General features: G+C 41.7%; 1 protein-coding gene across 37 annotated transcripts in view, besides 1 other annotated feature; it reads left to right on the forward strand.

The window, feature by feature from the left end:
- The window catches only part of PABIR3 (PABIR family member 3), a 68408-nt gene that overhangs the window by 23737 nt on the left and 20066 nt on the right, over nucleotides 1-24605 (forward strand). For 20 of the 37 annotated variants that reach the window (NR_158603.2, XM_005262382.2, XM_011531296.3 and 17 more), the window contains one exon: nucleotides 9126-9182. Coding sequence is in view for 31 of the 37 variants with exons in the window: in XM_005262382.2 (XP_005262439.1) it covers nucleotides 9126-9182 (57 nt within the window). In the remaining 6 variants the exon portion in view is untranslated. Of the gene's footprint in view, nucleotides 1-1226; nucleotides 3160-9125; nucleotides 9183-12844; nucleotides 13090-17210; nucleotides 17235-18626; nucleotides 20393-24605 lie in introns of those variants that run through there. The other 17 variants (NM_001388446.1, NM_001365744.3, XM_047441880.1 and 14 more) reach the window with 9 other exon arrangements.
- Nucleotides 11970-12184: a silencer, noted in NCBI's record as "fragment chrX:133966100-133966314 (GRCh37/hg19 assembly coordinates)". NCBI's record gives its function as "represses an EF-1alpha promoter that drives an FKBP-Casp9 reporter gene in an ReSE screen in phorbol 12-myristate 13-acetate-treated (for megakaryocytic differentiation) K562 erythroleukemia cells {active_cell/tissue: K562(+PMA)}" and the evidence as "EXISTENCE:reporter gene assay evidence [ECO:0000049][PMID:32094911]".

The raw sequence follows: 24605 nt of genomic DNA on the forward strand, positions 1-24605 counted from the left end.
AGTAATTAGACCCAGGGTTCAAAATCAATGGATAGCAAGCTCTTATATATATTTAAAGATGTCGAGAAGGATATCTATCAACCTATCTTTAGTAGATATCTCTGGAGCATGACATTATAGGCAGAATTTTATTTTTACTTTATGCATTTCTATACTAGTTGGATGTTTTTCACAAAGCATGAGCAATACAGGTGTTTTCATTTCTAGTAGATATTATATTACAAAATAGAAACATTATTCTTGAAAAAATACAAATATTATTGAATGATATCATAAACTATAAGTTTAATGGTTATGTCCTATACTGGTCTATCCTTAAAATTGGTGCCACAGGCATCTAAAGTAGCCAAATTCATAGACACAGAAGGTAGAATGGTGGTTGCTAGGGGCTGGGAGGAGGAGGGAATGGGGAGTTGTTGTTTAAAGGGTACAGTTTTGCAAGGGTACAATTTTAAAGGGTTTCAGTTTTGCACGATGAAAAGAGTTTTGGAGATTGGCTGCACAACAGTGGGAATGTACCTAACACTGCTGAACTGTATACTTCAAAATGGTTAAGATGGTAAGTTTCACGTTAGTGTATTTTACCACAATTTTAAAAATTGGTGCTGCTTTTCATGTATTTAAATATGGGTAAAACAGGCTGGGCACAGTAGCTCACGCCTGTAATCCCAGCACTTTCAGAGGCCGAGGCAGGCGGATTACTTGAGTTCAGGAGTTTGAGATTAGCCTGGTCAACATAGTGAAACCCCGTCTCTACTAAAAATACGAAAAATTAGCCAGGTCTGGTGGCACGCGCCTGTAATCCCAGTTACTTGGGAGGCTGAGGCAGGAGAATCTCTTGAACCCGGGGAGTGAAGCTTGCAGTGAGCTGAGATCCCGCCACTGCACTCCAGCCTGGGCGACAGAGACAGACTCCATATGAAAAAAATATATATATACACATATATATGTATATATATATATTTTATATTATATGTGTGTGTGTGTGTATATATATATATATATGGGTGTGTGTGTGTATACATACGTATATAGGTAAAACCGTGTTTTAGAAACAAATCACTGTGACAGAGGGCATTGAAGAGCCATGGGTTTTTGTGTTGAATGAACACAAAAATAAAGATGCGTATTTTCCAAGCATTGTAAAAAAAAAAAAAAAAAAAAAAACTGTTCCCTCACAATTATTTTGTTTAATTAAGTGCAAATATTTTCTTCACTTCTCTCAGGAAATTACTTCACCCACTTCTGTTGAACAGAAGCCCAAAGACCTCTTCTGACCTTGAGACTATGCCTTCTCCCAAATCGCCCCTTTGCTTTATCTCCTAAGAACTCTGAAGTTGCCATGCCTGTTCCTTTCTCTCCCACCAGGAATTCTGGCACTTCTGCTCAAGCCGGATGTCACTGCGTCACTTCTCCATCCCCACCCCCTCCTCTTCCAAAGGAAGCAGGGGAAATGTCTCATCTTCCTAAGAGAAAAGGTTGTGCTTTTCTTGAGCAATTCATCTGTTCTAATTTTAGGCCTACTGACATCTGTCTCATTAGGTTTTGCTTTTCCTATTGGCAACCACAAACCCCAAATCTAGTGTATGGCCCACAAAGTTGCAAGCATGTAATACATTCCTGATCCTGCTTTATGCCCTGCACATCTAGCCCATGTTCAGTTCATGTTAAGTAGCATTATAAACCATCTTAAATCATTTCTGAAACTAGGCAGAGACATTTATAAACACAGTGTACAACCCTTTGTTTAGGATTTTCTGAGCATTTTATCTCTAGTTACTATAGTAGGAAATGGCTTAAAAACAGCAAACCTAGGAAAATGAAAAATAATTTTTAAAAATCTTAATGTCTTTACAATATGAATTTTCTGTGATCTCTCTTAAATGGAACTAAGCTTGGTTTTTCCTCCTATCTTAATCCTTTCACTGGAGATAATTCTTAGTAATTAGCTTCACCCAGCACCCTCCCTAACCTCCCGCTACTTCTACTCCCAGCCACCTTCACACCATGACATCATTCCTTGGTGCTGATACTCTTGGTTCCTTCCAAGGACTTTTCTTTCTTCCTGGAGTGTGAGAAAAAGGCACAGTGGGAAATTTACACAAAAGATACCAGTGATGTTTATTACATCTCAGTGAAGTCATTATTTCTATTTTAATACTTTGTTTCATGTGGAAAAATTATCTAAGGTAATTCCTTTGCAAACGCCACTTGTAGTACTTAATTTGGGGAGAATTCTCTTCCAGAAGCCTTGTTTTCTGCAATTAATTTCTCACATTATTACTAAAAGAATCAGCCAATACAAGATTTGATCCACATTTTGTCCAATTAAAAAATTCTTGTAGCTTATGATTCTGTAGCTCAAGTTCAAATCCTACCTACCTCAGACATTTCACACTATCTCCCTGCTGGTGTCATCAATTTCAGTCTATCTTCTCATGATTTCCTGGATGAAGTTTTTCAGTGGGAAATCCTAAGCCTTTGCCTGAACCTAAATTGGTTCCTTCCCATCCCTTAGGTATAAATTAAAAATAATCTCTTCTAGGGAAGTCTTTCATCATTATTTTATGAAGGAAATTTGCCATACCATGTTTTCTCACTTATAAGTCGGAGCTAAATGATAAGAACTTATGAACACAAGGAAACAACAGACACTAGGGTCTACTTGAGCGGGGAGGATGTGAGGAGGGAAGCAGAAAAGATAACTATTAGGTACTGGGCTTACTACCTGGGTGATGAAATAGTATGTACAACAGGCCAGGCGCGGTGGCTCACACCTGTAATCCCAGCACTTTGGAAGGCCAAGGTGGGCAGATCACCTGAGGTCAGGAGTTTGAGATCAGCCTGGTCAACATGGTGAAACCCCATCTCTACTAAAAATACAAAAAAATTAGCTGGGCATGATGGTACGTGCCTGTAGTCCCAACTACTCAGGAGGCTGAGACAGGAGAATTGCTTGAACCTGGGAGATGGAGGTTGCACTGAGCTGAGATTGCACCACTGCACTCCAGCCTGGGTGACAGAGCGAGACTCCGTCTCAAAAAAAAAAAGAAAAAATATGTATAACAAATCCTGGTGACACATGTTTACCTATGTAACAAACCTTCACATGTACCCCCAAACCTAAAATAAAAGTTAAATAAATAAAAAATTAAAAAATAGAAAGTAATTGTCTTATTTATGACATGTCATTATAATACAGCCAAAGTGTCATAATTTCTATAGAAAGTATATGTATACATTTAAGTTCAGGTTATATATCTTTTTCATTAGATTATAAACTTTATAAACCATAGTGTTTCATGTTATATATTGTGAATTTTCTGGGCATTTGATTGATGCAGATGTGAACCTTAGTAGCATGAATTAAACGTATTAAAATTCTGCCTCTTCAAAGGTGTGTGTGTGTATCTGTATATATGTGTATATATATGTATATTTGTATACGTGTATTCTATGTACATATATACATATATACATACACGTATACATATATATGCATATACATGCAAAATGTATACATGTACACATATATATCCATGTGTATATGAGAGTTTTTCAGGAAAACCTAAATTTTTCAGATTCTGTTCATGCCACTGCACAACTTCTCAATTAGTGTTATTAAAGGGAAACACTGAGGAAGAATCTCCAACACTGTATAAATCACAATGTTTTCTGCTTGCTTTGAAAGTTTGATTATTTTTATAGTATGCCTTAAGAATGGGCACGTAAATATTTTTTAAATTAGCAATATTTGGGGTTCAAAGTAAAAAAGAAAAAAAAGTCACAGTATCTAATGTTGAGAGGGTATGAGGAAATAGGTATTCTAATACACTACTGGGAAGTAAATTTGTATAAGTTTTCTGGAGGGCAGCTTGGTGATATGTATCAACAACCTTGCAACCCAGAAACTCCAGCTCTATGAATTGATCCTAAAGAATTAATTAAGGATGTGCACAAACATTAGCTTAAAAGATATTATTACAACATTATTTATAAGAGCTAGCAAAAAATATGGCAACAGCCTGAATGTCTAACAATAGGGAATAGGTCAATCGAAAGAGCCTTCGTTACGTGTATTTGAATTCCAGTTCTAGCAATGACTGCATAACCCCTTGGACAAGTTGCTTAATCACTGTAGCCCTCAGTTTTTCTGAGGCAAAATGAAGGTGATAATAATGCCTACCTCATGGGGTTGCTGTGAGAATTGAGTGAGATAAAACGTGTGGCACATAATAAAAGTGCTGCTTATTATTATGGTACGTCCTTACAGTATAATATTCAGCACTTAAAATGGTGTTGCAGATGAATTTTAACATGGAAAGACTCAGAATGTATTAAATTATATATATTGAGTATATATGCTTTATAATGAGAAAAAATGTGAGCCTATTTCTGTTAAAAACAAAAAGATCAGGGCCAGGCCCGGTGGCTCATGCCTGTAATCCCAGCACTTTGGGAGGCCAAGGCGGGTGGATCACTTGAAGCCAGGAGTTCGAGACCAGTCTGGCCAACATGGAGAAACCCTGTCTCTACTAAAAATATAAAAATTAGCCGGGCGTGGTGGCGCACGCCTGTAATCCCAGCTACTCGGGAGGCTGAGGCAGGAGAAATGCTTTAACCCAGGAGGTGGAGGTTGCATTGAGCCAAAATTGGGCCACTGGCCACTGCACTTTAGCCTGGGTGACAGACTGAGATTCCTTCTCAAAAAAAGAAAAAAGAAAAAAAATAAAAGATCAGGACAAACAGGCAGAGCATAGGGGAATTTTAGGACAGTGAAACTATTCTGTACCATACTATAATGATGGATGCATGTCATACAAAACCCTTAGCATGTCCAACACCAGGAGTGAACCTAAATGTAAACTATGAACTTTGGGTGGTAATGATGTGCCAATGCAGGTTCATTGGTTGTAAAAAATGCACCATTCTGGTGAGGGATGTTGGTAGTGGGAGAGGCTGCACTTGTGTGAGAGCCGGAGGGGGGTATGTGGGAACTCTTTATAATTTCTGTTCAATTTCGCTGTGAACTGAAGAGTGCTCTAAAAAATAAAATATATTAAAAATAAATAAATGAAAGTTCAAATAGGAAAAGACTGGAAACTGCTGGGTAACAGGGGACAGATAGCCTAGTTTTATAAATACTTAGCATATAATTCAAATTGTTTATGTATCATTAAAGGATGTATTCTAGAGTGTTTGATGATGGTAGTAATAATGGTGGTAGTAGTAATAGTTACCATTTATTTAGCACAAACTCTGTGCCAGGTGCTGTGCTAAACACATTACATGTATTATCACCATTATCACATTAAATAGATGCTTAAAACAGCAACTCTAGCATGTTGTTCATAACACTATTGCCTATAGCAACAAATTATATATCCAATGTATCCCTTTAATATAAGTTTTATCCAGAAAAGATTTCTGACTTTTGTTAGAAGGGTCAGCTAGTAGCATTATTGATTTGAATTACAAATTTCCTTAAGATATCAACCCTGGAACATGATTAGTACAGGCCAGTCTGAGTTATGCGCCAGTCAAGAGTCCACAACTGTCAGATTTTTTTTATTATTATTATTTTTTGAGTCAGTCTTGCTCTGTCATCCAGGCTGGAATGCAGTTGATCTTGGTTCACTGCAACCTCCGCCTCCCAGGTTCAAGTGATTCTCCTGTGGCAGCCTCCAGAGTAGCTGAGATTATAGGCGCCTGCTACCACGCCCGGATCTTTTTTTTTTTTTTTTTTTTTGTCTTTAGTAGAGATGGGGTTTCACCATGTTGGCCAGGCTGGTCTTGAACTCCTGACCTCAAGTGATCTGCCTGCCTTGGCCTGTCAAAGTGCTAGGATTACAGGTGTGAGCCACCGCATCCAGAGTGACATGTTTATACCCATTCTCTGGATAGCAATAGAACCAGGCTCAGGGCTGATGATATGTATCTGAGTATATCTATTCCAAAGTTAAATAGATGGTGCTATTAGGTGTAACCTGCTCTTCTCCTATGTATAACAGAGTAGATCATTTTCCCACAGTTCAAACTCTTTGAGCATGACATTTAAAGCTTTCTAATATCTTCACGCTTTTGGCCTCAGAGTCCTTTCTCCCTCCACGAACTTGGTGTGCCACTCACACAGGGCCAGTATCCTGTCTTAAAACATGCCAAGCACTTTCACTTTTCTGTTGCTTATGCTGGCAAACTCCTTGTTCTGAAGGTCCAACTGAAATACCACCTTATGCCTTTCTTATTTGTCTTCCACCTCCCAGCCCCTACACACACCCACTTCATCTTTGCTTTTTATTCCCACCCCACTTTGCTTTCATTTGACATGCACTTCCTTGTCTCTTATATAAAATCTGCTTCCAAGACTGGTTTCTTCAGTGGATTGTAAGGTCTCTGAGTAATAACTGAGGGTAATAACAACAGCTTATTAGCTGTCTTTTTTTTTTAAGAAAAAAATTCTCTCATTCCCCTCTGAGCAGAAAAATAGCTCATTAAACATAGCAAGTATTCAAAAAATAGTGAAATACTTAACAGCTAGCCATATTTTGACAATAGCGAATTATTGTGGTGAAGTAGTTGTTGCTAATTGTCAAATAAAATTTATATGTAGTAAATTTTCAGTTACCCACATACCAATTTTCTATTGTTATTTTTACAACCTTGGCTGTTTCTTCTACTTTCTAGCAAATGATTTGAAAAAAAACAAACTGATTTTAATACTTTAAGCAACATATAATTAGTGAGGTGATATATTCCTTAAGCAGCAATATGATACATTTTAAAACCCAACAAAAATTCAGACTATCTGCTTCATAGAAACATTTATTTATCCAACACATACTTTATTTTATGTATGTATTTATTTATTTATTTATTTGGAGATGGTGTCTTGCTCTGTTCCCCAGGCTGGAGTGCAGTGGCACGATCTCAGCTCACTGTAAGCTCTGCCTCCCAGGTTCAAGTGATTCTTCTGCCTCAGCCTCCTGAGTAGCTGGGGTTACAGGCACCCGCCACCATGCCTGGCTAATTTTTGTATTTTTAGGAGAGACAGGGTTTCACTATGTTGGCCAGGCTGGTCTCAAACTCCTGACCTCAAGTGATCCACCCGCCTCCGCCTCCCCCTCCCGAAGTGCTGGGATTACAGGCATGAGCCACCACACATGGCCCAACACATACTTTTTGAACACTCATCTTCCCTCCACTCACTAACTCACTCCTCTTACTGCCTTTCATGGCCACACTCCATCTATTGGTTTCTACTGGGAACCTTAGCAACCTCTTTTTCAACCTTCTGGTCATTTCTCCAATCTACCTCCTTCTCTTCACTCTCCCTTTTTCATTTAGACCCTCACCATCTGTGACCTGGCCTGTGACCCTGCGTCTAGTCCCTCTTCCATCCACCATCAATGTGTTCTGCATGATGTTGCTAGGGTTACCTTTTTAAAGCAGATATGATCTTGTTTAAACAGCTTTGAGGTTTAAGAACTCAGAGGAATCTATGCTCTGGGTTTCCTATTGTGCTCAAAGGCTAAAGTCCAAAAACTACAATCTGGTTTTAGCCTAATTTCCCTAAATTTGTTTCCTGTTGTACCCTCGCAGGTACTAAGTTTCAGCCACCCTGAACCTTTCTGTTCCCTGAACATTCCTCTCTGCCTGAGTGTTTCCTCTCACTCCTTGAAATGTCCTCCCTCCTCTTCTCTATCTAATGAGTTGCTACTCCTCTATGAAGACTTCCTCAAGACCCACACAGAGTTCTCTGTCCTTTGAACTCTGTCCTTTGAACCCAAATCGTAACTCTGTTCTGCCATTTGGCTGTGACCTAGTTTCTGCTAACTAGACTTAGACTTTGACTTGCTCAAGGACAGGAAAATGTCTTATTTATCTTTCGATCTTCAGAGTCTAGCTCAGTGCTCTCTCTCTCTCTCTCTCTCTCTCTCTCTCTCTCTCTATATATATATATATATATATATGTATATTTGTAAAGGTGGGTGTTTGCCATCTTGCTTAGGCTGGTCTTGAACTCCTGGCCTCAAGTGATCCTCTCAAAGTGCCGGAATAATAGGCATGAGCCTCCCGTGCCTGGCCTCCAGGTCTTTTATTTTTCTTAAAAATCCCAAGTAGCTGGGATCAGAGGCACATGCCACCACGCATGGCTAATTTTTGTATTTTTAGTAGAGATGGGGTTTCACCATGTTGGCCAGGCTGGTCTTGAACTCCTGGCCTCAAGTGATCTGCCTGCCTTGGCCTCCCAAAGTGCTGGGAATACAGGCATGAGCTACCGCGCCCGGCCTCATTCAATATTTTGAATGTACAACTCAATGTGCTCTTAAGATAGAATTTGAAACTAAGATATGGTAAACACATTATCTGGCATTTTAAGAAATAACCACGGTACAGAAAGAGTTTACAGATGAATTCTGAAGGTAATTTTCAAGCCTCATTTTCACACTTAGCTTTAAATCCCTCCATTCTTTCATTCCCCTCTTGTGTGGGTCCTCATAAGCTTTGAGAAAAGACTGAAAAGGAAAAAGTAGCCCCGAAAAAGAGAAAGGACCTAGACAAGAAGTATCTTAGCAACCAAGAGTAAAATGTGCTAAATGACTTGAAAGTGATTACCTTAGAGTCATTTCATATTATGAAAGTTTGGTTTCCCAGCTAGATTCCAGGATATTTGATGTAGTTATTCTGTTTATGATTTTTGGGCAGTATGCTTGGCAAGCTAGCTACTGATTCAATGACTGTTTCAGCTTTTTGTTCTGGGTAATACCTCTACCTAAGCTTTAATGATGGGCTAAAACTGGCAAGAAAAATGAGGCAATTTTAAGATCTAGTGCCTTAGGAAAGAAAAGGTAGAGACAAACAAAATCCTCTATTGATGTTCTGCTCTGTATTTATTATGATAACAGTTATTTTGTTCTGTTTTGGAAAGTGTTGATTTTTGATTAGTATAATTTTCAGTCAAGATCCAGTTGGATCTTTTTTTAACTTTGAACCTAACTGATACTGTTGCTGGCATGCATAAGACACTAAATAAATATTTTAGGTAATTCAACATTGACTTAATGTTGAGATGTAATTAATCACAAACATTAAAGCAAGCTTGACTTCTATATTTTAAATTTCAGTTGTTGCCACCTCCTCCCTTTCATGGTTCCATCAGCCGCCTTCATCAAATCAAACAGGTAAGAAGACTTTCCAAACTGACAGCTGTTCATTTAAAAAAGTAAATTTTATTTTTCTTTGTGAAAATACCTATGTTTCAGTAATTCTAAGTGAGGTCACGTGTAATATTAAGTTTTTATTTCTAGGAATGATTTCTTCAAAAAAAAAACAAAACTAAGAAGCACTTTTTTTGGCTTATTAGCTATTTTAATTAATTAATAATTTCTAGAAATACTGCATACTCTTATACCTTGAGTCTAGCTTCTTTCTTCCAGGGATCTGAAAGTGGAATGCTACACATAAAAATTAATTTTCAGCTTCATAATAACTGTAGTTATTATTTTTTTAACCCTCAGATGAGTTTTTTTGACAGATAAAATGGCCTTCATGCTATTGTTTTGTTCTTAGTGATCTGAGTTCAGGGACACATTGTACCTCACTGGTTTATATTTTGTGCCCATGTGCACGCATGCACGTCTCTGTGTTTGTGTGTTTGTGTTTGTGTATGTGGTTGGGAGGGTGTATGTGGGTGGGTGGGTGTGCACTCATGTGCACATGCATGCTTAATAGCACAAGCATAATACAGAATTCAACCTTTTAATTATCCAAGGATTAGCCACAGAACTCAAAAGATCAAATCACCACTACCCCACAGGTGGTATTTTTTTCTTTGACCCAGCTACAAGCAGACATTTTTTCCCCCAAGAGAGGCTTAACTTATTATTCACTTAGTACTAACAGGTACTTTACATTTGTGGTCTCATTTTATCTTACAACAACTTTATAAGGTCAGAAACTAAAAAGGGGAGAAATTTAGCAATTTACCCAATCTCCAGAGTTGGTGAATGTCAGAGCCAAGATTTGGCCCCAGATTACTGGATTATTTTCCAGCTCCCCTTTCCCTGTTTCAGTGCACAAAGCCCATAATACCATCTTGTAATCCTAGTTATTAGTCCTCCAACTCTTGCTTCTTTTCCCTCTCTCCCTTTCACCCCTGTGGCATGGCTTCCCTAAGGTCAGCTTATCCACTAGCAAGAAAGTATGGTAAAAATGGTTTTTTTCCTTTTTTTTTTTTTTTTTTTTTTTTTGAGACAGAGTTTCGCTCTGTTGCCCAGACTGGAGTGCAGTGGCTCCATCTTGGTTCACTGCAACCTCCACCTCCCAGGTTCAAGCGATTCTCCTGCCTAAGCCTCCCAAGTAGCTGGGATTACAGACGCCTGCCACCACGCCCGGCTAATTTTTGTATTTTTAGTAGAGACGGGGTTTCATCATGTTGTCCAGGCTGGTCTTGAACTCCTGACCTCAGGTGATCTGCCTACCTCGGCCTCCCAAATTGCAGGGATTACAGGCGTGAGCCACCGTGCCAGGCTGTTTTTTTTACTTTTTAGTGGGTAAAACTTGCTTTTACTCCTGTCTTTGTATGTAGCTATTTTAGAAATTCTTAAGGAATGAAACAAGTTCAAAGGAGTAAAGTGACCTCGTGTTTATCTGTGCAATATGTTTCTTTGCTTCTCCTAAATTAAACCAAATATTTGAAAATGGGTTATGTGTTGCTATTTGCTGGTGAAGCTTGATATAAATCCTAATTTACACTGGTTAGGAATATAAGTTTAATGCAGTTTATTTCCATAGTAACATAATATGTATTATAAATATTTAAAAATGAAATATAAGTAGAAAATGAATGAGATGGGAAAAGAGAAAAACATTAATTTTCAATCTGGATACTGATTGAATGGAAAATTAAGACTTATTTTCAGCAGTTTAATGGTCTGATAGATATCTTAAGTTGCATATTTCTTTTTTTTTTTTCTTTGTTTTTGAGATGGAGTCTCACTCTGTCACCCAGGCGGGAGTGCAGTGGTGCTGTCTCAGCTCACTACAACCTCCACCTCCTGGGTTCAAGGGATTCTCCTGCCTCAGCCTCCCAAGTAGCTGAGATCACAGGTGCGTGCCACCACACCCGGCTAATTTTTTTGTATTTTTAGTAGAGATAGGGTTTCACCATGTTGGTCAGGCTGGTTTCGAACTCCTGACCTCAAGTGATCTGCTCACCTCAGCCTCCCAAAGTGCTGGGATTACAGGGGTGAGCCACTGTGCCTGGCATAAGTTGCATATTTCTTTACATGCATTCTTTGACTGACTTCTTTGTCCCTATTAAACTTAACCTTTTAAGTGCAAAACAGAAATGTCTGGTTCTCTCCCCATTACCTTCTGAACTTTCACTTTAACAACATTAATAAGGGCATTGATTTTTCAAAATGGGGGGAATAATATTGGCTATCTCATAGAATCGTTTTGAGGATGAAAAGAATTACAACTGACCCTTCAACAACCTGGGTTTTTAAAAAGTAATTAATTTAATTTTTACAGGTGCCATGGGGTACATGAGATACTTTGATATAGGTATGCAACATGTAATAATCACATCAGGGTAAATGGAGTATCCATCCCTTCAAGCATTTATCCTTTGTGTTACAAACAATTCAATTATCCTTTTAGTTATTTTTAAATGTATAATTAAATTATTATTGACTATAGTCACCCTGTTGTGCTAGCAAATACTGAGTCTTATTTGTTCTTTCTAACTATATTTTTGTACCCATTAACCATCCCACTTCCTCGCCACCCCTCATTTACCCTTCCCAGCCTCTGGTAACCATCCTTCTAATCTCTATCTCCATGAGTTCAAGTGTTTTAATTTTTACCTCCCACAAATAAGCAAGAACATGAGGCTGGGCGCAGTGGCTCACGCCTGTATTCCCGGCACTTTGGGAGGCTGAGGTGGGCAGATCACTTGAGGTCAGGAGTTCGAGACCAGTCTGGCCAACATGGTGAAACCCCGTCTCTACCAAAAATACAAAAATTAGCCGTGCGTGGTGGGTGCCTGTAATCTCAGCTACTCAGGAGGCTGAGGCTAAAGAATCACTTGAACCTGGGAGGCGGAGGTTGCAGTGAGCCGAGATCGCGCCACTGCACTCCAGCCTGGGTGACAGAGAGAGACTCCGTCTCAAAAAAAAGAAAAAAGAAGATAAGTTAGAACATGCGATGTTTGTCTTTCTGTGCCTGGCTTATTTCACTTAACATAATGACCTCCAGTTTCATCCATGTTGCTACAAACGACTGGATCCCTTTTTTTTTTTTTTTTTTTTTTTTTTTGAGACAGTCTTGCTCTATCACCCAGGCTGGAGTACAGTGGCGCCATCTCAGCTCACTGCAACCTCTGCCTCCCAGGTTCAAGTGATTTTCCTGCCTCAGCCTGCTGAGTAGCTAGGTTTATAGGCCCACGCCACCACGACAGGCTAATTTTTGTATTTTTTGTAGAGACAGGGTTTCGCCATGTTGCCCAGGCTGGTCTCGAACTCCTGACCTCAGGTGATCCTGCCTGCCTCAGCCTCCCAAAATTCTGGGATTACAGGCGTGAGCCACCGTGCCCAGCCTGGATCTCATTCTTTTTATGGCTGAATAGTACTCCACTGTTTATATGTATCACATTTTCTTTATCCATTCATCTGTTGATGAACACTTAGGCTGCTTCCAAATCTTAGGTATTGTAAACAGTGCTGCAATAAACATGGGAATGTAGATATCTCTTCTATATGCTGATTTCCTTTTTGGTGGGTGATATACCTTGGAGTGAGATTGCTGGATCATATGGTAACTCTATTTTTCATTTTTTGAGGAACCTCCAAACTTGAACAACATGGATTTGAATGGCGTGTGATGTGAAACCCTCCTATACGTATGGGTGACTTTTTGTATCCTCGGGTTCCAGAAGGCCCACTGTGGACTTGAGGATGTGTGGATTTTGGTATTGCAGTGGGGGGGTGCTGGAACCAATTCCCCACATATACCAAGGGATGACTGTAAGTAATTATGCATAATGCCAAGAGTACTGCATTAAAAAAAATCTTTTTAAATGGAAAATTTAAAACATGGAATATAGAATCTTCATGTACCTAACACCCAGCTTTAACAATTATCCACATTTTGTACATCCTTTTTCATCGATCTGCTTCTCTTTTAGGGGTGGGAGAGAGTGCTTTAAATTTCTGACATATCTTTTTACCCAAGTTTATGGGTATGAGAAGGACTTTTTTTCTCCATAATCACAATGCCATCATTATGCATAACAAATTACCTTATTCCTTAATGTCATCTAAATCCATGTTATATTTTTCCTAATTCTTAAAAATGCATTTTTTAACTGATCCAAACACAATCCAAATATGACATTTAGTTGATATATATCTCTTAGATCTCTTTTATTTAAAACAGCATTTTTATTTTATTTTATTTATGTTCCAGGATACATGGGCAGAATGTGCAGGTTTGTCACATAGGTATACGTGTTCCATGGTGGTTTGCTGCACCTATTGATCTGTCATCTAGGTTCCCTCCCCTCACCACCCACCCCGCAACAGGCCCTGATGTGTGTTGTTCCCCTCCCTGTGTCCATGTGTTCTCATTGTTCAACTCCCACTTAGGAGTGAGGACATGCATTGTTTGGTTTTCCGTTCCTGTGTTAGTTTGCTGAGGATGATGGCTTCCAGCTTCATTCATGTCCCTGCAAAGGACATGATCTCATTCCTTTTTATGACTGCATAGTATTCCATGGTGTATATGTACCAGATTTTCTTTATCCTGTCTATCATTGATGGGCATTCAGGTTGGTTCCATGTCTTTGCTATTGTAAATAGTACTGCAGTAAACATGCGTGTGCATGTGTCTTTATGGTAAAATGAATTATATTCCTTTGGGTATATACTCAGTAATGGGATTTCTGGGTCAAATGATATTTCTGGTTCTAGATCCTTGAGGAATCGCCACACCGTCTTCCACAGTGGTTGAACTAATTTACATTCCCACCAACAATGTAAAAGCGTTCCTATTTCTCCACAGCCTTGCCAGCATCTATTGTTTCTTGAGTTTTTAGTCATCGCCATTCTGACTGGCATGAGATGGTATGTCACTGTGGTTTTGATTTGCATTTCTCTAATGATCAGTGATGTTGAGCTTTTTTTCGTATGTTTGTTGGCCACATAAATGTCTTCTTTTGAGAAGTGTCTGTTCATATCTTTTGCCCACTTTTTGATGGGGTTGTTTGTTTTTTCTTGTTTCAGTTCCTTGTAGATTCTGGATATTAGACCTTTGTCAGATGGGTAGATTGCAAAACTTATCTCCTATGCTGTAGGTTGCCTGTTCACGCTGATGATAATTTCTTTTGCTGTGCAGAAGTTCTTTAGTTTAATTAGATCCTATTTGTCAATTTTTGCTTTTGTTAGAATTGCTTTTGGCATTTTCATCATGAAGTCTTTGCCCATGCCTATGTCCTGAATGGTATTGCCTAGGTTTTCTTCTAGGGTTTTTATGGTTTTGGGTTTTACATTTAAATCTTTAATCCATCTTGAGTTAATTTTTGTATAAAGTATAAGGAAGGGGTCCAGTTTCAGTTTTCTGCATATGGCTAGCCAGTTTTCCCAGCACCATTTATTGAATAGGAAATCCTTTCCCCATTGCTTATTTTTGTCAGGTTTGTTGAAGAGCAGATGGTTGTATATGTGTGGTGTTATTTCTGAGGTCTCTGTTCTGTTCCATTGGTCTATATCTCTGTTTTGGTACCAGCACCATGCTGTAAAACAGCATTTTCTGCCTGTTTTTTGTTCCATGCCTCTTATTTATTGAAGAAACCAGGGAGTCCATTTGTCCTGTAAAATGTCCCACATTCTGATTTTGCTTCCATGTGGTGTTACTATGTTGTTTTATCCTCTATTTCCTGTTAAATAGTTTTTTTAATTTTTATTTATTTATTTATTTAGACGGAGTCTTACTCTGTCGCCCAGGCTGGAGTGCAGTGGCACGATCTCGGCTCACTGCAACGTCTGCCTCCCTGGTTCAAGCGATTCTGTAACCTCAGCCTCCCGAGTAGCTGGGATTACAGGCGCCCACCACCCCACCCAGCTAAATTTTTTTTTTTTTAAGTAGAGAGGGGGTTTCATCATGTTGGCCATGGTAGAGAGGGGGTTTCACCATGTTGGTCTCAAACTCCTGACCTCAGGTGATCCGCCCATCTTGGCCTCTCGAAGTGCTGGGATTACAGGCATGAGCTACCGCGCCTGGCCTCCTGTAAAATAGTATGATGAAATTTGCTTTTAATTTTAAATGAACACACAGCTCCAAGTCAATGTTAGGTTCTGGGCCAATATTTGGTTTATGTTACACCTTTCCTATTAAGCAGGTAATGGACAATTTCTTCTCAACTGTTGTTGTTAGCTGTTTTCTAAGTATTAAAGAGACTGAGACATCAAGCTAGAAGTTAATTTTCTAAACACAGTTATTATTCCTACATAGGAATTATTTTGTGTAATTTTCCTTTCTAATAAAAATTTTATTTTATTTATTTATTTTTCAGACAGGTTCTTGCTGTGTTGCCCAGGCTGGAGTGTAGTGGCATGATCATAGCTCACTGCAGCCTCAACCTTCTGGGCTAAAGTGATCCTCTTGCCTCAGCCTCCCAACTAGCTAGGACTACAGGTGCACACCACTATGCCTGGATAATTTTTTTATTTTATTTAATTAATTTATTTATTTCTGAGACGGAGTCTCGCTCTGTTGCCTAGGCTGGAGTGCAGTGGCATGATCTCGGCTCACTGCAACCTTCGCCTCCCGAGTTCAAGCAATTCTCCTGTCTCAGCCTCCCGAGTAGCTGGGACTACAGGCACCCACCACCACACCTGGCTAACTTTTGTATTTTTAGTAGAGACGGGGTTTCACCATATTGGTCCGACTGGTCTAGAACTCCTGACCTCAGGTGATCCACCCGCCTCGGCATCCCAAAGTGCTGGGATTACAGGCATGAGCCACTACGCCTGGCCATTTTTTTAAATTTTTGGAGAGATGACGTCTCCCTGTGATGCCCAGGCTGGTCCTGAAATCCTGGCCTCAAGTGGTACTCCTGCCTCAGGCTCCCAAAGTACTGGCATTACAGGCATGAGCCACCACGTGTGGCCCCTAATAAAAATTGAGCTTGTATTCCAAAAGATCCGAATGCATTCAGTCTGTAGTTCCCTGTTTCCCAAAGCTCTAAACATAAATTAGTGCCATGCAGAAACAGTTTGTATATTTGCTCAGGCTGCCATTGCAAAGTATCACAAACTGGGCGGCTTAAACAACAGAAATATATTGTTTCACATTTCTTAGGGCTAGAAGTCTGAGATAAAGGTGTCAGTAGGGTTGATTCCTTCTGAGAACTGTGAGGGAGGATCTGCTCCAGGCCTCTGCCCTTGGCTTGTTGATGGCTATCTTCATGTTCACATAGTGTTCTCCGTGTACATGTGTTTGTTTCTAAGTTTCTCCTTTTCATGAAGGACAGCGGTCATATTGGATTAGGGCCCACCCTAATGACCTCATCCTAATCTGCTTGCTTCTGAATATATTCTGTCTCTAAATAAGGTCACATCCTGAGGCACTGGGGATTAGGACTTCAACACAGGAATTTGAGGGGACACAATTCAACCCATAACAGTCTGCTCACAGTTTTTTGTTATATAGCTTTATATTTAATTCCTGATTTGTTAAACAGGATATGAGTCATTGGCACCCAGTAACAACTTAACTTTCTCTGTAGTGTCTTAAGTAAAAATCAATAAGAAGAAATTGAGCTGGGCGTGGTGGTTCGTGCCTGTAATTCCAGTGACTTGAGAGGCCAAAGCAGGAGGATCACTTGAGGCCAGGAGTTCAAGACCAGCCTGGGCAACATAAGAAGACTCCGTCTTTAAAAAAATTTTTTTTTTAATTTGCTGGCCGGGCACGGTGGCTCACGCCTGTAATCCCAGCACTTTGGAAGGCCGAGGCGGGTGGATCACCTGAGGTCAGGAGTTCGAGACCAGCCTGACCAACGTGAAGAAACCCCATCTCTACTAAAAATATAAAAATTAGCCAGACCTGGTGAGGCATGCCTGTAATCCCAGCTACTCGGGAGGCTGAGGCAGGAGAATCGCTTGAACCCGGGAACCAGAGGTTGCAGTGAGCTGAGATTGTACCACTGCACTCACTCCAGCTGGTGTGACAAAGTAAGACTCCTTCTCCAAAAAAAAAAAATTTAAATTTGATTTTAGTTTACAGATTGTTTCATTCTTTCAACAAGCCTTTATTGGGTACTGTGCAGGCACTCAGTAACTAAAATCTTTCAGATGTAGTCTCCTCGGAGAGCAAAAGTTGGTAACTTACAGTTCCCATTTTTACCATGTATCCTGAAAAATGGAAAGCTAACTTTAACATCCAAGTATAACAATTCTCCTTAAACTAGGTTTCTAGTATACTGTACTCTGCTTCTTACAGTTATAATGCATGGCTGTTGACCTTTTATACTTATTTTAATAATCTTATTTTATTATAAACCATCTCAAATCCATTTTGGAAATAGGCAAGACATAAATGAAAAAGAGTCAACACTCTTCTCCTAACAACCTTCAATAGCTGATTTTAGCTAATGCTCCAACTTTCAGTGGGAGGAATATTAAGCAGAATTCTATCTCAGTTTCACAAAACTACCTGCTCTGTACTTGTTGACCGAATGAACTACAAAATACTTTGAGTTTCACACTAGAGGAGACTATCTATATAATATTAAATTGAAGAACTATACTAACAATTACATTTTGCTGAATTTACTGTTATTCCATTGCTTTTAAAAGACTAATTATCTTCTTAAATTACCTTTTCCAATTCCCTCATTTTCTGTACCTCATTGTGTGGTATCAAAATAGTCACAGTTTTAAGACTCAAAGCTCTCGATTTGATACCTCATTGTATGGTATCAAAATAGTCACAGGTTTAAGACTCAAAGCTCTTGATTTTTCTTCAGTTCTTCCTTATTTTTCTACTGTATCCAATTAGGCTTCTAATCCTACTAATTCTTCCTTGACAATATCCTCTTTGTTGTCACTGCTGCTTCCTTCTTCTGTCCCATGGGTCTAGATTACTGAAATAATATCCCAGTAGATTTTCTGTTTCTCCCAGTTTATCCAACTTCCACAATGAAGACCAAGATAAATGTTTTTTTTTTTTGGAACAGAGTCTCGCTCTGTCGCCCAGGCTGGAGTGCAGTGGCGCAATCTCGGCTCACTGCAACCTCTGCCTTCTGGGTTCACGCCATTCTCCTGCCTCAGCCTCCCGTGTAGCTGGGACTACAGGCACCTGCCACCACGCCCAGCTAATTTTAGTAGAGACGGGGTTTCACCGTGTTAGCCAGGATGGTCTCGATCTCCTGACCTCGTGATCCAACCACCTCGGCCTCCCAAAGTGCTGGGATTACAGGCACAAGCCACTGTGCCTGGCCAAATTTTTTTTTTTTAAAAAACATCATTTTCCTCCCTCTCCCTCTCCCCCTCCCCCTCCCCCCTCCCCCCCTCCCCCCTCCCCCTCCCTCTCCCCACGGTCTCCCTCTCCCTCTCTTTCCACAGTCTCCCTCTGATGCCGAGCGGAAGCTGGACTGTACTGCTGCCATCTCGGCTCACTGCAACCTCCCTGCCTGATTCTCCTGCCTCAGCCTGCCGAGTGCCTGCGATTGCAGGCGCGCGCAGCCACACCTGACTGGTTTTCGTATTTTTTTGGTGGAGACGGGGTTTCGCTGTGTTGGCCGGGCTGGTCTCCAGCTCCTAACCGCAAGTGATCTGCCAGCCTCGGCCTCCCGAGGTGCCGGGATTGCAGACGGAGTCTGGTTCACTCAGTGCTCAATGGTGCCCAGGCTGGAGTGCAGTGGCGTGATCTCGGCTCGCTACAACCTCCACCTCCCAGCCGCCTGCCTTGGCCTCCCAAAGTGCCGAGATTGCAGCCTCTGCCCGGCCGCCACCCCGTCTGGGAAGTGAGGAGCATCTCTGCCTGGCCGCCCATCGTCTGGGAGGTGAGGAGCCCCTCTGCCTGGCTGCCCAGTCTGGAAAGTGAGGAGCGTCTCTGCCCGGCCGCCATCCCATCTAGGAAGTGAGGAGCGCCTCTTCCCGGCCGCCATCCCATCTAGGAAGTGAGGAGCGTCTCTGCCCCGCTGCCCCGTCTGGGATGTGAGGAGCGCCTCTGCCCGGCCGCGACCCCGTCTGGGAGGTGAGGAGCATCTCTGCCCGGCCGCCCCGTCTGAGAAGTGAGGAGACCCTCCGCCTGGCAACCGCCCCGTCTGAGAAGTGAGGAGCCCCTCCGCCCAGCAGCCGCCCCGTCTGAGAAGTGAGGAGCCCCTCCGCCCGGCAGCCACACCGTCTGGGAAGTGAGGAGCGTCTCTGCCCGGCAGCCACCCCGTCCGGGAGGGAGGTGGGGGTCAGCCCCCGCCAGGCCAGCCGCCCCATCCGGGAGGTGAGGGGTGCCTCTGCCCAGCCGCCCCTACTGGGAAGTGAGGAGCCCCTCTGCCCGGCCATCCGCCCCATCCAGGAGGGAGGTGGGGGGGTCAGTCCCCCGCCCGGCCAGCCGCCCCGTCCGGGAGGGAGGTGGGGGGGTCAGCCCCCCGCCCGGCCAGCCGCCTCGTCCGGGAGGTGAGGGGCGCCTCTGCCCGGCCGCCCCTACTGGGAAGTGAGGAGCCCCTCTGCCCGGCCAGCCGCCCCGTCTGGGAGGTGTACCCAACAGCTCATTGAGAACGGGCCATGATGACAATGGCGGTTTTGTGGAATAGAAAGGGGGGAAAGGTGGGGAAAAGATTGAGAAATCGGATGGTTGCCGTGTCTGTGTAGAAAGAAGTAGACATGGGAGACTTTTCATTTTGTTCTGTACTAAGAATTCTTCTGCCTTGGGATCCTGTAGATCTGTGACCTTACCCCCAACCCTGTGCTCTCTGAAACATGTGCTGTGTCCACTCAGGGTTAAATGGATTAAGGGCGGTGCAAGATGTGCTTTGTTAAACAGATGCTTGAAGGCAGCGTGCTCGTTAAGAGTCATCACCACTCCCTATTCTCAAGTACCCAGGGACACAAACACTGCGGAAGGCCGCAGGGTCCTCTGCCTAGGAAAACCAGAGACCTTTGTTCACTTGTTTATCTGCTGACCTTCCCTCCACTATTGTCCTGAGACCCTGCCAAATCCCCCTCTGCGAGAAACACGCAAGAATGATCAATAAAAAAAAAAACAAAAAACAAAAACAAAACAAAAAAAACATCATTTTCACTTTCTTCCCCCCATACAAAATGTCACAATGGCTTCCCATTACCTATTGAATAATAATAAAAATAGCTAATATGTGTTAAGCACTGAACTGTTTGCCAGGCAGTGTGATGAGAACTGTACAGCCACCTCATCATCCTCATTCTTATCGTCATCTTCATATGGATGAAGAAACTGACGCTCAGGTGACGTCACCTGCCTAAGTTTGCACAGGTAGTAGGTTATAGAGCTGGGATTTGACTCAGTTCTGTTTGTCTCCAAAGCCGGGGTCCTGACAATGACGTGATTCTGCCCAAATTCTTTAAATTCAAACTGTTTGATTATTTAAGAACCTGTAAAACTGGCCCTGTCTTACCTCTCCTGTTTTCTCTCTCATTACTTTGTAGCACAAACTCAGTTTCAGCCAAGGTAGTCTCACTATCTCCAAATCTGTTGTATTTTTTTCCCTCTCCTAAACTTTTGTTCATATGGGTTCTTCTGCTTGGAATACCCTTCCCTCTACTCACTGCTTGTTCATATTTTATACATCTTTGAAGGACTAGGTCAAATATTTATTTATGTATTTATTTATTTATTGAGACAGGGTCTCATATTGTTGCCAGGCTGGAGTGCAGTGGCACAATTGTGGCTCACTGCAGCTTCAATCTCCCAGGCTCAAAAGATCCTCCCACTTCAGCCTCCTGAGTAGCTAGGTCTACTGACATGTGTACCACATGTGCCCGGCTAATTTTTTTTTTTCTTTTAGTAGAGATGAGGTCTTGTTGTTACCCAGGCTGATCTCGAACTCGTGAGCTCAAGGATTCCTCCTGCCTTGGCTTCCCAAAGTGCTGGGATTACAGGCATAAGCCACTGTGCGTGGCCAAATTTTAATTCTTTCGCACAACTCACACCACTCTTCTATTATGGACTACCCCAAACATGTATTATTTATACTATAGACGAAAATCTTTAAACTCTTTTGATCACACATCACATCAGGAGAAAATGTTTGAGTACATGCCTCCAACATAGGTACACTGCATTTACTTATACATTTTGGACATATACCACTGTGCTATTATGTGAATCATAGAATATATATAAAGTAGAAATATAAAAAAGGATGAGATAAGGATGAAACGATGTTTTTAGAAAATTTAAAAATTTGGCTGGGTGCAGTGGCTCACGCCTGTAATCCCAGCACTTTGGGAAGCAGAGGTGGGTAGATCATCTGAGGTCAAGAGTTTGAGACCAGCTGGCCAACATGGTGAAACCCCATCTCTACTAAAAATGCAAAAATTAACTGGGTGTGGTGGCATGCACCTGTAATTCCAGCTACTCGGGAGTCTGAGGCAGGAGAATCGCTTGAACCTGGGAGGCAGAGGTTGTACTGAGCCGAGATCGTGTCACTGCTCTCCAGCCTGGGCAACAGAGTGAGATTCTGTCACCAAAAAAAAATAAAAATAAAAATAAATAAAAAAATAAAATCCCAGTTACTTAGGAAGCTGAGACATGAGAATCACTTAAACCTGGGAGGCAGAGGTTTCAGTGAGCTGAGATTGCACCACTGCACTCCAGCCTGTGTGACAGAGTGAGATCCTGTCTCAAAAAATATATAAAAGCAACAACAAAAAAACTATCCTAATGGGGGTAAAGTGGCATCTCATTGTGGTTTTGGTTTGCATTTCCATAATGACAAATGATGTTGAGCATCTTTTCATGTGCTTTTTGGTCATTTGTATGTATTCTTTGGAGAAACATTCAGTCTCTTTACTCATATTTTAATTGGGTTGGTTTTTGTTGTCACTGTGTGGTAGGAGTTCTGTATATATTTTGGATATTCATTCCTTTTCAGATATATGATTTGCAGATATCTTCTCCAATTATCCAGTTGTCTTTTCACTCTCTTGATAGTGTCATTTGATGCACAAAAGTTTTTTTAATTTCTCTGGGCGCGGTGGCTCACACCTGTAATCCTAGCACTTTGGGAGGCCGAGGTGGGTGGATCACGAGGTCAGGAGATCGAGACCATCCTGTCTAACATGGTGAAACCCCGTCTCTACTAAAAATACAAAAAATTAGCTGGGCGTGGTGGTGGGCACCTGTAGTCCCAGCTACTCAGGAGGCTGAATCGGGAGAATGGTGTGAACCTGGGAGGTGGAGCTTGCAGTGAGCCGAGATCGCGCCACTGCATTCCAGCCTAGGCAACAGAGCGAGACTCCGTCTCAAAAAAAAGTCCGGGCACAGTGGCTCACGCCTGTAATCCCAGCACTTTGGGAGGCTGAGGCAGGTGGATCACCTGAGGTCAGGAGTTTGAAACCAGCCTGGCCAACACGGTGAAACCCCATCTCTGCTAAACATACAAAAATTAGCTGGGTGTGGTGGCGGGTGCCTGTAATCCCAGCTGCTCAGGAGGCTGAGGCAGGAGAATTGCTTGAATCCGGGAGGCAGAGGTTGCAGTGAGCTGAGATTGCGCCATTGCACTCCAGCCTGGGCAACAGGAGCAAAACTCCGTCTCAAAAAAAAAAAAGCATTAATTTGGCCGGGCGCCATGGCTCACACCTGTAATCCCAGCACTTTGGGAGGCCAAGACGGGCGGATCACAAGGTCAGGAGTTCAAGACCAGCCTGACCAACACGTGAAGCCCCATCTCTACTAAAAATACAAAAATTAGCCGGGCCTGGTGGCATGCGCCTGTAATCCAAGCTACTCAGGAGGCTGAGACAGGAGAATCGCTTGAACCCAGGAGGCAGAGGTTGCAGGAGCCGAGATCACACCATTGCACTCTAGCCTGGCCAACAGAGTGACACGCCATCTCAGAAAAAAAAAAAAGTTTTTTAATTTTGATGAAGACCAGTTTATCTGTTTTTTTTCTCTTGTTGCCTGTGCCTTTGGTATCATATCCAAGAAATCATTGTGAAATCCAGTGTCATGAAGATTTAACCTTATGTTATCTTCTAAGAGATTTAGAGTTTTATCTTTTAAGTTAAAGTCTTTAATTCATTTCGAGTGAATTTCTGCATAGGGTAAAAAAAAAAAAGGGGGTTCAACTTCATTCTTTTGCATGTAGAGCTCCAGTTTTCTAAACATCATTTGTTGAAAAGATTGTCCTTTCCCCATTGAATGGTCCTGGCATCACTGTTGAAAACCATTTGATCATGTATTATGTAAAGGCTTATTTCTTTTTTTTTTTTTTTTTTTTTTTGAGACGGAGTCTCGCTCTGTCGCCCAGGCTAAAGTGCAGTGGCGTGATCTCGGCTCACTGCAAGCTCCGCCTCCCGGGTTCACGCAATTCTCCTGCCTCAGCCTCCCGAGTAGCTGGGACTACATGCCCCTGCCACCACGCCCAACTAATTTTTTGTACTTTTAGTAGAGACGGGGTTTCACCATGTTAGCCAGGATGGTCTCAATCTCCTGACCTCGTGATCCGCCCACCTCGGCCGCCCAAAGTGCTGGGATTACAGGCGTGAGCCACCGCGCCCGGCTTGAAGGCTTATTTCTGTGCGCTCTATTCTGTTCCATTGCTATATGCATGTTCTTTTTTTTTTTTTTTTTTTTTTGAGACAGAGTGTTGCTCTCTGTCATTCAGGCTGGAGTACAGTAGTGCAATTTCAGCTCACTGCAACCTTTGCCTCCAGGATTCAAGCAATTCTTGTGCCTCAGCCTCCTGAGTAGCTGGGATTACAGGTGTATGCTACCACACTTGGCTACATTTTGTATTTTTGGTAGAGAAGAGGTTTCACCATGTTGGCCAGACTGGTCTCGAACTCCCAACCTCAGGTGATTCGCCTGCCTCGGCCTCACAAAGTGCTGGTATGCATCTGTTCTTATGCCAGAACTACACTGTTTTGACTATGTAGTTTTGTAGGAAGTTTTGAAATCAGAAAGTATGAATCCTCCAGCTTTGTGCATCTTTTCAAAGACTGCTTTGGCTATTTGGGGTCCTTTAATATTCCATATGAATTTTCAGATGGGTTTTTCTGTTTCTGTAAAAAATGTGATTGGGACTTTGGTAAGGGGCGCATTGCATCTGTTGATCACTTTGGGTGGAATTGTCATCTAAACATTGTCCCAATCCATGAACATGAATGTCTTTCTGTAGGTGGGTTATTAAAAAAAAAAAACTACCTATGTGAAAATGATACTTGTATATTAATAAAAAGTCAAATAATATAGCAATGTACAAAGGAAGAAAGAACACATTACTCCAGATCTCACTACTCATTGATAACCACTGTTAAGTTTCTGGTGAACATCTTTCTGAGCACCTCTCTTACAATTTTACATAAATAGGATCCATTTGTCTCCCATTTAATATGTAATAG

Source organism: Homo sapiens, chromosome X (genome assembly GCF_000001405.40).
Source record: "Homo sapiens chromosome X, GRCh38.p14 Primary Assembly".
NCBI lineage: Eukaryota > Metazoa > Chordata > Mammalia > Primates > Hominidae > Homo > Homo sapiens.